Raw genomic sequence first — 17,063 nt, 5'->3', positions numbered from 1 at the left:
TCTGCCTCCTGGGTTCAAGTGATTCTCATACCTCAGCCTCCCAAATAGCTGGGACTACAGGCACATGCCAACATGCCTGGCTACTTTTTGTATTTTAAGTAGAGACGGAGTTTCGCCGTATTAGCCAGGTTGGTCTCGAACTCCTGACCTGAAGTGATCCACCCGTCTCAGCTTCCCAAAGTGCTGGGATTACAGGCATGAGCCACCACACCCAGCCTGGATATAGAACCTTTAAATGAGTAATAAGCATACAGTCAACATTCAATAAATATTAGCTAGTACCTTTACTATGGAGAGTCCTGTTATGTGACTTTTAAAAAGAGACCAAATTAAATGATGATATGAGATCTTCTGTAATTTCTCCCTCATCATGTCCCGTAAAGCCAAATGTGCTACTGATTTTGAAATATTGTACATGTTGAGCACAGAATATATTGTTTTAACTTGTTCTCATCCCTGGAAGGCATTCCAATTCATTATTAGTTTCTTGGCAGTTAAAGCACATGCCTTTCTGGTAATACTGCCTAATACACATAATCCCTTTAATACCCACCCACTGAGTATAGCGAGTGCTCCCTCCTCCGTGTCATTGGCTGCAGAATCTTCTCTCCCTTTCCCCTAAGTGGCCCAGCGTCATCGCATTCAGGGGGAGCTACTGTAACCACTGCAGCTGTTCTAAAATTGCAAGTGTGCCAACAGCCATCTTCCTTTCCTCTCTAGTCCCGCAGGCTCCTGTTCACACAGGCTTTCTCCATCTCCCTCTCTGTCACAGCGGGCTATCTGTCAGGATTCATGAGCCTAAGAAGGCACTGTCTAAAATTCTGAAAGCTGGCCAGGCACAGTGGCTCACGCCTGTAATCCCAGCACTTTGGGATGCCAAGGCGGGCGGATCATTTCAGGCCAGGAGTTCGAGACCAGCCTGGCCAACATGGTGAAACCCCGTCTCTACTAAAAATACAAAAGTTAGCCAAGCGTGGTGGCAGGCGCCTGTAGTCCCAGCTACTCGAGAGGCTGAGGCAGGAGAATCGCTTGAAGCCGGGAGGCAGAGGTTGCAGTGTGCCAAGATCGCACCACTGCACTCCAGCCTGGGCGATAGAGCGAGACTCAAAAAAAATAAAATAAATAAAATAAAATTCTGAAAGTTTCCCAAAAAAATGCCCGTTATGTACCCACCTTTCCCACTGCAAGTTTGTTTATTGATTGATTGAGATAGAGTCTTGCTCTGCCACCCAGGTTGGAGTGCAGTGGCTCAATCTCAGCTCACTGCAACCTCTGCCTCCCAGGTTCAAGCAATTCCCATGCCTCAGCCTCTTAAGGATTACAAGCATGCACCACAATGCCTGGCTAATTTTTGTTTTTGTACCATTAGTAGAGACAGGGTTTCACCATGTTTGCCAGGCTGGTCTGGAACTCCCAGCCTCAAGTGTGATCCACCCACTTCGGCCTCCCAAAGTGCTGGGATTACAGGTATGAGCCACCACTCGGAGCCCCCACATTGCAAGTTTATTCTGGAATAACATCATTATTATTCTGTTATCATGGGGCAGACTCTGAGAAGAGGAGACAAAGGACTTAGGACAACAGTCCATGTACACACACACACACACACACACACACACAGATCTGTCTTTGGAAGATAAGTAGGCAGTTTTTGACACAGTATTAAATGAAAATATTTTGGGCAGTGATGCCTTCAGAGTATAGAAAAGCTAGGTCCGACGACGCGCGGTGGTTCACGCCTGTAATCCCAGCACTTTGGGAGGCCAAGGCAGGTGGATCACGAGGCCAGGAGATTGAGACCATCCTGGCTAACACAGTGAAACCCCGTCTCTACTAAAAATACAAAAAAATTAGCTGGGTGTGGTGGCAGGCGCCTGTAGTTCCAGCTACTCGGGAGGCTGAGGTAGGAGAATGGCGTGAACCTGGGAGGCGGAGCTTGCAGTGAGCCGATGGTGCCACTGAACTCCAGCCTGGGCGACAGAGCGAGACTCCGTCTCAAAAAAAAAGGAAAGCTAGGTCCTACTTTAATAAAGCCTAATAAATGAAGATGTAAATATTAAAACAGATGAATTAAGTGGTGATTAACTGTCTTGTAAAAAATTGCTTTGTGTATATAGGCAGTATCAGGGATTTAATTAGTCTCTCTCCATGCATTTGAACCTGATTTATAGCATGAGGTCTCTTTTAATCCTATCTCCACTTCCTCAAAGATACTGATGTCAGCTACCACCAGAATTGCTGAGCTGAATTCCCTGACCCAAGGTGGCTCGGTTTAATTCAGTCAAGTATTAGGCATTCAGCCTGTTGAATCCTCTCCTGTGCCCAGATCCCTAAGGCCAGCCTCACCCAGGGTGTGGCCTGGGCAGAGAGGGCAACCCGCCCGTGGGATGGAGCTGCAAGGTTCTGATGGTCTTCGTAGAATCACAGCTGGCTTGGCAGTTTCTTGGCAGTTTCTTGACCAAGCGGGAGACATAGATGGAGGCATGTTGTCTTCCAGGAAGGACACGGAGGTCCATATAAAAATTCTCTACTCTTATCCCACAGATGCGTGGTGGCATGGGAGTGCGGAAAAGGCAGGCCCCGCCATAGATGGTGGGAAAACCGCTGGAAAGATGCTGATCCATGGTGGCTGATCACCATGGTGAGATGGGTACCATACTAATGGTTCCATCCTCAACAGTGCTACCTGCATGATACAACTGTGGGCAGGACAGGCCAGGTCTATTCTCTGCCCTTCTGTTTGAGGCTTTGGAGACAGACAACTGCAGGCCCACTGGTTTTACTCATGGTCAGACTTCCCAGGACCTGGCCTTTCCTCTTCAATGTCACTGTCATTTCCCACAAACCCTATCCCTCACAACATTTGAGAAAGCTTTAGTTCAAAAATGTGGCTTCTTCCCCTATTCATTCATTCGGCAAAAACTTATTGGGCAGGCTGAGCAGTAGGCCCAGTAAGGAAATGCAGTCTTGGCTGGGCGGGTGGCTCATGCCTGTAATCCCAGCACTTTGGGAGGCTGAGGCAAGGGATCACTTGAGGTCAGGAGTTTGAGACCAGCCTGGCCAACATGACAAAACCCCATCTCTACTAAAAATACAAAAAAAAAAAATGAAATGCAGTCTTGTCTTGTAGAACCCCAGGAAAGATTGCAGAGCATTCAAGCACTGCAGCAAGGGTGAGCAAAGATGGAGTAGAAAGGGACCTGATCCAGGTGTGGAGGAGTTAACACATCCTGCTTGAGTTGAGGCCTGAAAGAAGCTTTGGAATTTTTCAGGGGAAAAAAAGTGACAGGAAGGGCATTCTAGGCAGATGGAATGGTGCATGCTAACACACAGAGGATGGGAGAGTTCAGCACATTTAGCTTTAAGGTGCCAAGGACAGGATACCGTAGCTCATGCCCATAATCCCAGCAATTTGGGAGGGTGAGACGCATGGATCACTTGAGCCCAGGAGTTAAAGACCTGCCTGGGCAATATGGCAAAACCCCATCTCTACAAAAAAAAAAAAGTGGAAAAATTAGCCAGGCGTGGTGGCACATGCCTGTGGTCCCAGCTACTGGGGAAGCTAAAGTGGGAGGATGGGAGGATCCCTTGAACCCCGGAAGTCGAGGCTACAGTGAGTCGAGATCACGCACTGCATCCCAGCCTGGGTGACAGAGTGAGACATTGTATCCAAAAAAAAAAAAAAATGTGCCAAGGAGTGGAAGGAGGAGAGGGCTGGTGTGAAGGGTTGAGAGGATTGCAGTTTGAGCTGAGCCAGAGAAATAAGCAGGTCCCAGGTTGCAGAGGGCCTTGTCTACCTGGTAAAACATTTAGGTTTTCTCCAGAGAGAGAAATGAAGGGCCATGGAACAGGCTTACCCAGTGGGATCACAGGATTTGTGTTTTAGAAAGGACACAGACAGCATGATGGAGTGGCATTGGAAGGCAACAAGCAGACCACTAAAGAGCCAGAATGGTGAGCTCCTGCCCCCAGCCATGGTGGGGGGAGGACATGAGTAGCAAGATTCTGCCTAAATTAATTATTAATAAGCGACGCAGTGATTCATCTATACCTTCCCCATTCCTAGCTTCATTTCCCCATCCAGCCCCTAGGAGCCCTGACTTTGATTCTAGTCCGTTTCTGTTTCCTTCTTCCCTTAGCTGCCCTCTTCACTGGAATTCTCTAAGGTGCCTGTTCAGCCCTATGGAAACGGCTGCCAGATTCTTCTGTTTTCTTCATGGAAAGCTCCCAAGTTTTTCTCTCCAAAATCCCTTAGAAGTGCTTTGGCCAGTGGAAGAGAGGGGTCTTCAACGTCTTTCAAAGAACAGCTAAGAAATAGTGGCTCAGTGAAGTTGCTAGTTATGGGAACGCCACCTGCTGTGGGAGCTGCCAGTGACGGGAAGCCCAAATCAGCAAGATGAGCCCCAGCCGCAGGCCTCACATTCTGGCAGTCTCCACGAGCCAAGAGGTGTCCATGCCAAGTCCTCATTCCCATGGTGATGCCTTATGGGCTCCATCATGTTAGCCAGAATATACCCTGGGAGATTATACCTGGGAGACACGTAGCTCAACAAGTACGGAACATGTCTTCCCTGCTGGTATTGGGGGGACAGGATGAATATCTGTCTGATAAGCTCACTGAGATATGTTAGGCTTGTTCCCTGTGAATAATTTATATTTTGAGAAACCTAGTACTTTCAAATTCATACAATAATGAGCTGTGTTATATTAGGATTCTGTTGTATGTTCACCTATCAAAATTTATACCTTAAATACTCACACTCAATATGGGGAGATACAAAGATAATTTAGATATCATATATGATTAACTATAGAAAACACATATCTTTTTTTTTTTAAGAGACAGGGGTCTCACTATGTTGCCCAGGCTGGTGTCAAACTCCTGGGCTCATGCAATTCTCCTACCTCAGGTTCCCAACATGCTGGGATTACAGGTGTGGGTAACCATGCCTGGTCAGAAAACACATATCTTAACACAATACACGATAATCACAATAGCAGGAAACAAGTTTTGTTTTGTTTTGTTTTTTTAATCAGAAAGGCAACATTTCCAGGTGAAAATTTTCCTCAGTGATGTAGGAAATGCCATCTTCTGTCATCAGCCCATCTCTAAATTCTCACTCTCACATTTGTTCATGTAGCTGCTACTCCTAATTCCAGATGAAAAATTCCTGTCGTTCAAAGGCAGAGCCGTTTGTAATTTATGCAACCCCTGGGTTCCATCAAATGAAAAGAGTTACTGAAATAGAAGTTATTCTTATTGCCATGCCAACAGCAGACCCACAACCTCAGCTTACAAACACATTCTGTGCTAAAGCCCAAAGCACATACCCTCACGTGCCTCCATCAGAAAGATCTTTCCATTTCCTTCAAGAACAGACCTCCTTCACGTACAATATCCCTCCCAGTAGCATACGTAGGCCTCATTCCTCAGGGAGCTGGCAGGAACACACACACACACACACACACACACACACACACACACACACACTCCTCCAGCACACACCTCCTTTCTCATTTTCCAGAGACCCGGGGGTGTGTGTGTGTGAATGTCTGAACTGATGACATATTGTGACAGAGGACGCAAGACAGTGAGGCACAGCCTCAAAGCAATGCAGGTCACAGCAATAGGCTTTATATAACCCAGAGCCATGGAGAGACCCAAAATAGCAGCCTCCCTGCTGCTCAGTTAGTCTCCTCCATCAACCAGGGATAAAATTAGAGCAGGCGCTGACGTGCACCTGCGTCTGCACAGGGACTCCAGGGAGACAGTGAGAACAGGCTCGACACTCTGCCATCGGCCACGCAGACTGCCAGATTTTTCAGACCCAATCTGTTACCAGACAGAACTCTGTGTGTGTGTGTGTGTGTGTGTGTGTGTGTGTGGTACACACACGCACGGGTGTACATGTGAGCCATGTGGAGCCCTGCTCTGAGAACATTTCAAGGGAATGGCTGGGAAGTTTGGCGGCATGGGGCTTTGAGAAGAATGTTCCAGGTTTTTGGGGGAGGAAGTCAGTCCCCACACCAGTCCCCATTTTACTTCATAGTTCCTTCTCGCCGCCCTCCCTACCGCTTCTCTCTGGCCTGTGTGGGGTCAAGTTTGGCTGGGAAGTCCTTCCTCTAAGACCTCGTTCTGCAAAACAAACAACAAACTAAAACAAAATCCTGCTGTGTTTATTTCAATTCAACCAAACACACACAGTCTGGAGAGTAAAAGCTTGTGCCAAGAGGTCCAGAGGAGAGACAGGCTGGTGAATGTGGCCGACTGTTCTGCAGGCCCCGGGCCCCCACTTTGTCTGGAAGCCATGAACGCTGCTTACAGGTGGGATTGGCAGAAATCCTGTCCTGCCGAGGCAGCAGGTGATTTGTTCTTTTTCTGCTTGAGGGAAAACAGGGCAGAATGATTTTTTCCCCCAAAAGATGCACAGTTAAAGGTTAGTCATTTTGTACCAGATATGATACAAATTTCAAGGGAGGAAGCATGGCTGACCCCAGGAACCAGAGACCAGATAAATAGGTACAAACTAGATGGAATGAGACAAGATTGTGTTTTGTTTTGTTTTTAGGAAAGAGCCGTCATCCCACACTATGACCTCTGAAATTCTACTATTATACATTAATTTTGGGAAGTTTATGTTCTTGGACTTCCCTTTTAAGTAAATACTTTAGAAGCTGGCCATGGTGGCGCGTGCATATAGTCCTAGCTATTTGGGAGACTGAGGTGGGAGGATTGCTTGAGCCCAAGAGTTCAAGGTTACAGTGAGCTACAATCATACTACTGCACCCCAGCCCACTGGGTGACAGAGCGAGACGGCCTCTCTAAAAAAGTTTTGGCCAGGCGCAGTTACTGGCCAGCTACTCGGGAGGCTGAGGCGGGAGGGTCGCTTGAGCCCAGGAGGTTGAGGCTGCAGTGAGCAGTGACTGTGCCACTGCACTCCTGGCTAGGTGACACAGTGAGACCTTGTCTCAAAAAAAAAAAAAAAAATGTGGGGGGCTGGGCGCAGTGGCTCACGCCAGTAATTCCAGCACTTTGGGAGGCTGAGGCAGGTGGATCACGAGGTCAGGAGATCGAGATCAGCCTGGCCAACATGATGAAACCCTATCTCTACTAAAGATACAAAAATTAGCCAGGCATGGTGGCACACGCCTGTAATCTCAGCTACTCCAGAGGCTGAGGCAGGAAAATCACTTGATCCAGAGAGTCAGAGGTTGCAGTGAGCCGAGATCGCGCCACTGCACTGCAGCCTGGTGACAGTGCAAGCCTCCATCTCAAAAAAAATAAATAAAAAATAAAAAAATTTAAGAAGAAAAAAAACACCTTAGTGAGTGGTAATATATTCAACTATTTCACATGGAGGTATCCATAATTTATCCTTTTCCTTTTAAGGTAACCCAAATAAATCCTGGATTCCCATATAGCCCAGGATCTGTGCAGTATCATTTTCACAAAACAAAACAATATACACACGCATGCGAGAGCACACACACACACACACAATAATCTAATTTTTAATGGCCGGGTGTGGTAGCTCACACTTGTAATCCCAGCATTTTGGGAGTTCAAGATGGGTGGATTACCCTAAGGTCAGGAGTTTCAGACCATCCTGGCCAACATGGCGAAACCCCGTCTCCACTAAAAATACAAAAAATTACCTGGGCGTGGTAACACATGCCTGTAATGCCAGCTCCTCGGGGGGCTGAGGAAGGAGAATCACTTGAACCCAGGAGGCAGAGGTTGCAGCGAGCCAAAATCGAGCCACTGCACTCAATCCTGGGCAACAAGAGCGAAACTCCGTCTCAAAATAAAATAAAATAAAATAATTTTTAAAATAATTCCCATTTTTATTTAAATATTGAGAAAAGCAACAAAAAGGATCTGACAGCAAGCAAAGCCACACTCTGAACTTCCCCTTTCCCTCCTCCAAGTCTTTTTTTTTTTTTTTTGAGACGGAATCTTGCTCTGTCACCCAGGCTGGAGTGCAGTGGTGTGATCTCAGCCCACTGCAACCTCCACTTCCCAGGTTCAAGCAATTCTCCTGCCTCAGCCTCCCAAGTAGCTCGGACTACAGGTGCGTGCCACCACACCCAGCTAATTTTTGTATTTTTATTTTATTTTATTTTATTATTTTTTTTTTTTTGAGACAGAGTCTTGCTCTGTCGCCAGGCTGGAGTGCAGTGGTGCGGTCTTGGCTCACTGCAACCTCTGCCTCCCGGGTTCAAGCGATTCTCCTGCCTCAGCCTCCTGAGTAGCTGGGATTACAGGCACACAACCACACCCGGCTAAATTTTGTATTTTTAGTAGAGACGGGGTTGCACCATGTTGGTCAGGCTGCTCTCAAACTCCTGACCTCGTGATTTGCCCACCTTGGCCTCCCAAAGTGCTCGGATAACAGGCGTGAGCCACCACGCCCGGCCCCCTCCTCCTCTGAGCCCTTTAAAAATTCCAGACACCCATAGATATTGCTCTCCCTCTCTCAACCTCTCCCTTAGCTCTTTATTTTTGTGTCAATTGACCAGCATCTCTGGCTTCTTTTAGTCCTCTCCAATCTGCTCACTCTTTGGCTTCTTCAAGCACAAAAAGGAAGCAGCCGAGGCTGACTCAGTAAGCAAGAATCTGTTCCCCCTTCAAAGTCCAGGCGTAAGGGTTCAGAGACAGTGCGGCTACTCACCCTGCTAGACCGACAGGGCTGTGGGGCTGTGGCGGGTGGGGTGGGGGAGATCTCTGAGGAAAGGACTTTGCTAAAGGAGATAGGAAGGAAGGGGGTGGAGAAATGGAGTGGAGGGAACTTCAAAGTGAAATTTCTGTCGTTGGACAGTTTTTGTCTTTGGCCTACCTTGTACAGTCACCAAGAGTTGAGACCAAGAGCTTATTGAAAGTACACGGTACTTTGTCTTAGTATTCTGTCCACCTTTTCTGTACTCTCTACCGGCTTTCAACCTCTGGTCTCACTATCCCCACTGAACATTGGCCCCACTGAACAGCCCCGCTGCTACTGAACAGGTTTCTTCATGCCCTTTGTTCATGAAGAAACTTTGTTCTTGACTTTCTCTTTCTTTCTTTTTTTTTTTTCTGTTTTTTTGAGATGGAATCTCTCCCTGTCACCCAGGCTGAAGTGCAGTGGCACAATCTCTGCTCACTGCAACCTCCGCTTCCCGGGTTCAAGCAGTTCTCCTGCCTCAGCCTCCCTAGTAGCTGGGATTACAGGTGCACACCACCATGCCCAGCTAATTTTTGTATTTTTAGTAGAGACAGGGTTTCACCATGTTGGCCATCAGGGTCTCAAACCCCTGACCTCAGATGATCCGCCCACCTCAGCCTCCCAAAAGTGCTGGGATTACAGGCATGAGCCACCGCACCCGGCCCCATCTCTCTTTCCATAATGTTCTTTCCTCTCTGCCCTTTCTCCTACCCACTTGTCTCCCTTCTTGGCAGCCTAGAGAACTTAAATTCATTCTTCAGTACTCAGCTCAAAGGTTACCCACCCTGGCACTTTCCCCTTCCCTTCCCTCTCCCCGTCTCGCACATGGTATGCAGAATTCTAAGATGGCCTCCAAGATTTCTGTCTCCTGGTATACACATCTTACATAATCCCCTCTCCTTGAGTGTTGGCAGCATTTGTGAATATGATGGGATGTCACTCTCTTGATTATGGTAAAAAGGATTTTGCAGATGTAATTAAGGTCCCTAATCAGCTGATTTTGGGTTAATCAAAAGGGAGTTTAGTCTGGCTAGGTCTGTCCTAATTAGGGGAGACCTTCAAAAAGGGACTAGGGGCCAGGCATGATGGCTTATGCCTATAACCCAGCACTTTGGGAGGCAAGAGGACCTCTTGAGCCCAGGGGTTGTAGAACAGCTGAGGCAGCATAGGAAGACCCCCATCTCTACAAAGAAAAAATTGTTTTAATTAGCCAGGCATGGTGGCATATGCCTGTAGTCCCAGCTACTTGGGAGGCTGAGCGGGAGGATGGCCTAAGCCCAGGAGTTCGAGGCTGCAGTGAGCTGTGATCGCATCACTGCACTCCAGTCTGGGTGACAGAGTGAAACCCTGTCTCAAAAATAAATAAATAGCCAGGCACGCTGGCTCATGCCTGTAATCCCAGCACTTTGGGAGGCCGAGGCAGGTGGATCACCTCAGGTCAGGAGTTTGAGACCAGCCTGGCCAACATGGTAAAACCCCATCTCTACTAAAAATACAAAATTAGCTGGGCATGGTGGTACATGCCTGTAATCTCAGCTACTCAGGAGACTGACATGGGAGAATCACTTGAACCCAGGAGGTAGAGATTGGAGCAAGCCAAGATCATACCATTGCACTCCAGCCTGGGCAACAAGAGCAAAACTCTATCTCAAAATAAATAAATAATAAAACCCTGAAAACAAAAAGGGACTAGGATCCTCCCTGAAGTCAAAGAGAATTTCCTGCTAGTCTTGAAGAAGAAAGCTGCCACCTTATGAGAGGATGTGTGAAGTGGGCCATGTGACAAAGACTTGAGGGAAGCCTCTAGTTGATAAGAGTGGCCCCTGGTGACAGCTGCCAAGACAACAAAGGCCTCAATCATACAGATGCAAGAAACTAAATTCTGCCAACAATCACGTGAGCCTGGAAGAGGACCTCAACCTCCAGAAAGAAATGCAACCCGGCAGACACCTTGATTGTCAGCTTGTGAGACCCTGAGCAGAGGACTTGGTTCAGCCATACCTGTACCCCTGACACATGGAAACTGTGAGATAATACATTGTTGTTGCTTTAAGCTGCTAAATTGTAGTAATTTATTACATAGTAGTAGGAAACTAATACCACCACCCCTCCCAAGAATTCTTCATCTTCTGGATTCTGTAGCACATTGCACTCATCAGTATTATAACCCTCCCTACACCATATCATACTTATCCCCCACACATCTGCCACCCTACTGTCACTGCAATCCCAGGCCCAGTCTTCTTTGGGCGTGGTACCAAGTATCTGGGAGCTAATAGGTAGGAAGTAATACATGCTTGTTGAATTAATGTCATGCAAACCCAAAATTGGCTGCTATCTCTACTGCCTGAGTATTTTTAACAGAGGTAATCTTTTCTTTTTCTTTTTCTTTCTTTTCTTTTCTTTTTTTTTAGACCAAGTCTCACTCTGTTGCCCAGGCTGGTGTGCAGTGGTGTGATCTCAGCTCACTGCAACCTCTGCCTCCTGGGTTCAAGCGATTCTAGTGCCTCAGCCTCCCGAGTAGCTGGGACTACAGGCGGGAGTCACCACGCCCAGCTAATTTTTGTATTTTTAGTAGAGACAGGGTTTTACCATGTTTACCAGGCTGGTCTCGAACTCCTGACCTCAGATGTTCCACCCAGCTTGGCCTCCCAAAGTGCTGGGATTACAGGTGTGAGCCACCGTGCCCGGCCAGAGGTAATCTTTCTGACATCTTGTGTGTGTGTAGGGCTGGCTCAGTTGTCCATAACATTTTGTATGTACATACATAGATTTAATTATTAATTTAATGAATTCTATAGTAGCCCCTAAAAGAAGATATGGTTTCAGATTTCCCCTCTGGTTTTAGGCTATAACATTTCTCTTGAATGTTCTGAGAATATCAGATCCTCCATGACAATGTCTTTAAAATTGTGTCGAGTAACACTAACCCTTAAATGGGCTGTGGGCAGCTGTCAAGTTTCAGGCCTCAACTCTTGGCAAGACATTGTCTCTCTCAGAGGCCTTTAGAATGTCTCCAAAGCACGCTACAGTGTATCTGCTGAACTGTTAGCCAACAGCCTCTGTATCTCATGGGCAGGTATCAGTTTCACTGTTGTAATATCCCCTCAACAACCATTGCAATGGCCAGGACATGTGGCCTGGCCTGTGGTTCAGAAACATAGTCACTGTAGCCATATATGACCCCAGAAACAGGGAACAGGTCTATGAGGTTGATTTGCCTGATTCCTACTCCACCCCCACATATGTGTATGCACACACACAGACACATACATGCATGTGTGCACACACACCCATATACATGCAGGTGTGCACACACACCCATATACACGCATGTGTGCACACACATGCACCCACCTTATTGGCGCCACTGATAATATAAAATACCTGTAACAAGGGACAGAACTTTTTATTTTTCTATGTGTAAGAAGATTTATGGGGTAAAAGCTCCTGAATAGGCCGGGCGCGGTGGCTCGTGTCTGTAATTCCAGCACTTTGGGAGTCTGAGGCAGGTGGATCACAAGCTCAAGAGATCAAGACCATACTAGCCAACATGGTGAAACCCCATGTCTACTAAAAATACAAAACTTCGCTGGGCGTGGTGGCGCACTCCTATAGTCTCAGCCACTAAGGAGGCTGAGGCAAGAGAATTGCTGGAACCCTGGAGGTGGAGGTTGCAGTGAGCCAAGATCACGCCTGGGAAACAGAGCGAGACTCCAGAAAAAAAAAGAAAGAAGAAGAGAGAGAGCGAGAGAAAGGAAGAAAAAAGAAAGGAAGGAAGGAAGGAAGGAAGGAAGGAAGGAAGGAAGGAAGAGAGAGGAGGGATTTCTCAAGGATCAGCGTATCTAAGCCAAAGGCCTTAGGGGAAGGGAGAGAAAGGAAGTGCGGGGCTTGGCAGGCACCTCTCCCTGCCTTTGATTCAGACATTCCTGGTGCTTACTGGGTGTAGACACTTTTCTCTCAGCCTGCTTCCTTGTAGGCAAAATGGGTGTAATAATCGCACTCACCTCATGGGGTTATTTTAAGAATTATATGAAACAATGCATGTTAGGCAGACAATTCAAGGCTCAGCACACAGAAAGCCACCCTTTAGCTATTACCAGTATTTGACCTGTAATCAGGCTCAAAGAGTGTCTTTTAGGGTCTCAAAAATTGGGTGCAAATTGGCTCTCCTCAGTAGTTGGTGGTTGCTCATCAGGTGTTTAGGACGTCTGCAAAGTAAGGAGGTCTGACAGACTCCTCATTGTAAGCTGTTCCCTAGTCACTCTGCCCCCATACTGGGAGTGGCAAGGGAGGCATTTGGCAAGAAACCCAGCAGTGAGACAATAGGTGTGAAAGATGAACAGGAAGTGTGGTTTGGAAGCAAGTGCTAGCACCAAACCACTCATGGAGAACACCTAATCTGGCTGCTGATTGGGCGCTGAGCCATCACTCATATCAAGCTTCAATGGGAAGGTTTGTATCCATGCCCAAACTTACAGCACACGGACCTTCACCAGGGAGATTGACTGAACTGGTGACCAAGGGCTCCCTTGAGACAGCATGGCCTTTGGCCTTCCAGGTTCAAATCCTAGGTCACTCAGTTACTACCTGAGGCACATTATTTAACCTCTTGGAGCCCCATCTGTCTTATCTTTGAAACAGGCATGGCTGTTGGGAGGGTTAGTGGAGATAACATGGAAAGAGCCTAGCACAGGGCCTGGCCCACTCCACAAATGCGAGCTCCCTCCCATTTCCCCTCCCAGGCATCTGAGACACCCCTCCACCCCTTCCTTGTCTCCTCACTGAAGACAGTTAAGCATGCTGTCTGGGGATGACGCCAGTTCTTGATTATTTGATATTGCCACACATCTGGCCTTATCACTGACTATTGACTATAAGACTGGCTGCCCTCTGCTCCACCTGGCTCCTTCCGGCCAGGTGGCTTCTCCTGACGCACTTGGACAACAGTGAAGGGTTGGGCCAGGTCGCCTGGTGGCACCAGGGTTGATGTGAAAGAGTTTTTCCTCAATATTCCAAACTTAAGAGAAGGAATGACTTTAAAAATGCATATGTATCTGCATGCCTGAAACACACACCTTTGAGAAGTTTCCTTCCTTTGAGTACCCAGACTGCAGTTGTTCTGACAAGTGCCCTGCCTGATCCTCCCTCTGAACACTTTCGTAGTTCCCAAGCTTCTCTTCCAGATAATCTAGGGTTCCTGTTTCTCAGCTCATCTCCTAAATGTTGGGGTTCTAGGAGATTCTGCCGTCAGTGCCCCCACCCACCATGCTCTCTGCATGACCTCAACCACAGCCATACCCTGCTGAGTTCCGAATCCATCTGCCTGGCTCTTCTGCCCACACATCTGCATACACAGCTGCCTCCATTTCCACCTGGTGGTTCTTAGACTTAACGTGTACAAAACAGAATGATGGATCTTCTTGACACACACCTAATTCTTCTATATTCTGTGCCCCAGTAAATGGCATGTCCTGCAAACCCAGAAGCATAAGCAAATCTCTTGATCTCCCTCTTCTGTTAATTCTATTTCCTTAGTATCTCTTGACTGTATCCCCTCCTTCCCATCTACCTTCCACCTCTGCATTCTGGCTGCCGCTGTATCTCCCCTGTAACACGGGAACCACGGCCTCAGTGGGCTCCTTGCTTCTAGTCGTTGTTCTCCACCATTGCCCCTAGAGACAACTTTCTAAAATGTAAATCTGACGGCACGCCTCCTCTTACTTAAAAATCTCTCAGCCAGGAGCGATAGCTCACGCCTGTAATCCCAGCACTTTGGGAGGCTGAGGCGGGCAGATCATGAGGTCAGGAGATTGAGACCAGCCTGACCAACATGGAGAAATTCCGTCTCTACTAAAAATACAAAAATTATCCGAGCGTGGTGGTGCATGCCTGTAATCCCAGCTACTCGGGAGGCTGAGGCAGGAGAATCGCTTGAATCCGGGAGGCGGAGGTTGCAGTGAGCCAAGATTGTGCCATTGCACTCCAGCCTGGCAACAAGAGTGAAACTGTCTCAAAAACAAAAACAAAAACCTCTCAAGGGCCCTTTCTCAGTCAAGGTCCAGACGGGGAACTGAAATCACACCAGCTATTGTAACACATTGTAACAGGGTCAATTTAAGATAAAGAATTGTTTACTAGGTCCAAAACAAAAAAGAATTGTTAACTTCAACTTGGAAAGTGAAATGACAAAGAGAACACTGAGGTATCACTGAGGCAGCAACTGCAGGAAACAGCTACTCCTCCTCCCAGGACTGTGGGAACAAAGGGAAAAAGGTGGGATTATTCATTTAGGGAGGAGGGATCCATGGCTTTAATGATAAGAAACAAACTAGTATGACATGCAAAGTCCTCGTGGTCTGTCCCCTGCTTTCTTTCTGGCTTCCTCTGTAGTCACAGCACCGGCTTCCTCATCCTCAGCCCAGGCTGAGCCACTCTGCTCTCACCACTCCATGCTTTTTACACGTGCAGCTGCTGCCTGGAATACTGTTCTTCACCCTTTTTCCTGGTAACTCACCATTCATTCACAAGACTTTGCTGACCGCTGCCCCACTTCAGGCTGAGTTCAGTAGCCCCCTTTCTTTTCTTTTCTTTTCTTTTTTTATTTTTTTGAGACGGAGTTTCACTCTTGTTGCCCAGGCTGGAGTGCAATGGCACAATCTCAGCTCACTGCAACCTCCACCTCCTGGGTTCAAGCGATTCTCCTGCCTCAGCCTCCTGAGTAGCTGGGATTACAGGCAAATGCCACCACACCTGGCTAATTTTTTGTATATTTTAGTAGAGACAGGGTTTCACCATGTTGGTCAGGCTGGTCTCGAACTCCCGACCTCAGGTGATCTGCTCACCTCAGCCTCCCCAAGTGCTAGGATTACAGGCATGAGCCACCGTGCCCAGCCTCAGTGGCCCCCTTTCTTTTATTTTTTTGAGACAAGGTCTTGCTCTGTCACCCAGGCTAGGTGCAGTGGCACGATCTCAACTCACTGCAGCCTCAACCTCCCGGGCTCAAGCAATGCTCCCATGACAGCCTCCCAAGTAGCCAGGACTACAGGCACGTGTCACCATGCCCAGCAAATATGTAAATGTTTTGTAGAGACGGGGTTTCACCATGTTGCCCAGGGTGGTCTTGAACTCCTAGACTTAAGCCATCCACCTGCCTCGGCCTCCGAAAGTGCTGGGATTACAAGTGTGAGCCACCGTGCCCAGCCTCAGTGGCCCCCTTTCTTAAGGGCACCCATAACATGCTGGTCATATCACTACCACATCACACTGTATCATCATTGTCAGTTTAGTCATCTACGAGCTCCATGGGACAGGACAGGGGCAGTCCCTTTTTTCTCTTTGCCCCTCCAGTTTTCAGTATTGGCAGGTACCATGCACTCATTACATTGTTGAGTATTAAAATCAAACCCATGTTGCCTCTCATATAAATAAATAGTATTCTCCTGCCTGATTTCCCCACCAAATCCAACCTTCCTAAGGGCCAGCTCTGGTCCTATCTCTCTAATAATCAAAAAATCTTCAGTGGCTCCCCATTGTCTGTGGCATAAAGTCCAAACTCCTTAGCATGCCATGTCTGGTGTTGTCTCTGACCTTGCTATCTAGGCTTATTGCCCCCTACACCCCTGCATGCACCACCCCTGCCAGGCTCCTCCCATGCCAGGCCACTCTATTTCCTCAGCACCTTGGACTCTGTCCCTCTGGATCAGAGTTCACTCTGTTACCTTCACCTGGAATACCTTTTGGGGCTACCTTTCCCTGTTGCAATTCTCACCAACCTTCAGGGCCTGGTTCCTAGACCATCTGCCTCAAGAATCCTTCCTGCATCCTCCTGAAGCAGTGGAGGATCAAGTCTCGAATGTTGAACAGGACCTTTATATCCCTATGGGGTCGGTCTAGCTTCTACTCACTAGTCTCACCTTCTCTCTTCCCACTCACCTCTTTGCTCTGTCTGCCCTAGAATGCTGGCCTTCTCTGGGCTCCTGACATGTGCCAGGCTGTTCCATGCTGCTCAGCCATTGTGCATGCTGTTCCTTCTGTCTGGAAGGCTGTCCTGCTCACCCTTCACCCACCTCACTTTCCTGACCCCAGACCATGTGAGCGCTCTCTATTGGCATTCTGTGTGTGACCTTTTATTCAGTTGTGTCTCCCGGCTCTGCTGGACTCTATACTGCATGAAAGAAGAGACTGTGTGTATCTTTTTAATTATTATTATTATTATTATTTTAAACGGAGTTTCGCTCTTGTTGTGCAGGCCAGAGTGCAATGACGCGATCTCGGCTCACCACAACCTCTGTCTAACAGGTTCAAGTGATTCTCCTGCCTCAGCCTCCTGAGTAGCTGGGATTACAGGCATGCGCCAGC

At 47.7% G+C, this 17,063-nt stretch overlaps 2 annotated features.

Annotated features, from left to right (window-relative positions):
* Positions 4,979 to 6,659: an enhancer, noted in NCBI's record as "VISTA enhancer hs1657". NCBI's record gives its function as "enhancer in: somite[7/7] | heart[7/7]" and the evidence as "EXISTENCE:transgenic organism evidence [ECO:0001131][PMID:17130149]".
* Positions 13,031 to 13,586: a transcriptional cis regulatory region, noted in NCBI's record as "candidate enhancer chr14.1538 targeted for multiplex CRISPR interference". NCBI's record gives its function as "positively regulates NEK9 gene expression in K562 cells {active_cell/tissue: K562}" and the evidence as "EXISTENCE:mutant phenotype evidence [ECO:0000015][PMID:30612741]".

This window comes from Homo sapiens, chromosome 14 (genome assembly GCF_000001405.40).
Source record: "Homo sapiens chromosome 14, GRCh38.p14 Primary Assembly".
Taxonomy (NCBI): Eukaryota; Metazoa; Chordata; class Mammalia; order Primates; family Hominidae; genus Homo; species Homo sapiens.
This window is presented reverse-complemented; position numbering and strand designations above follow the sequence as displayed.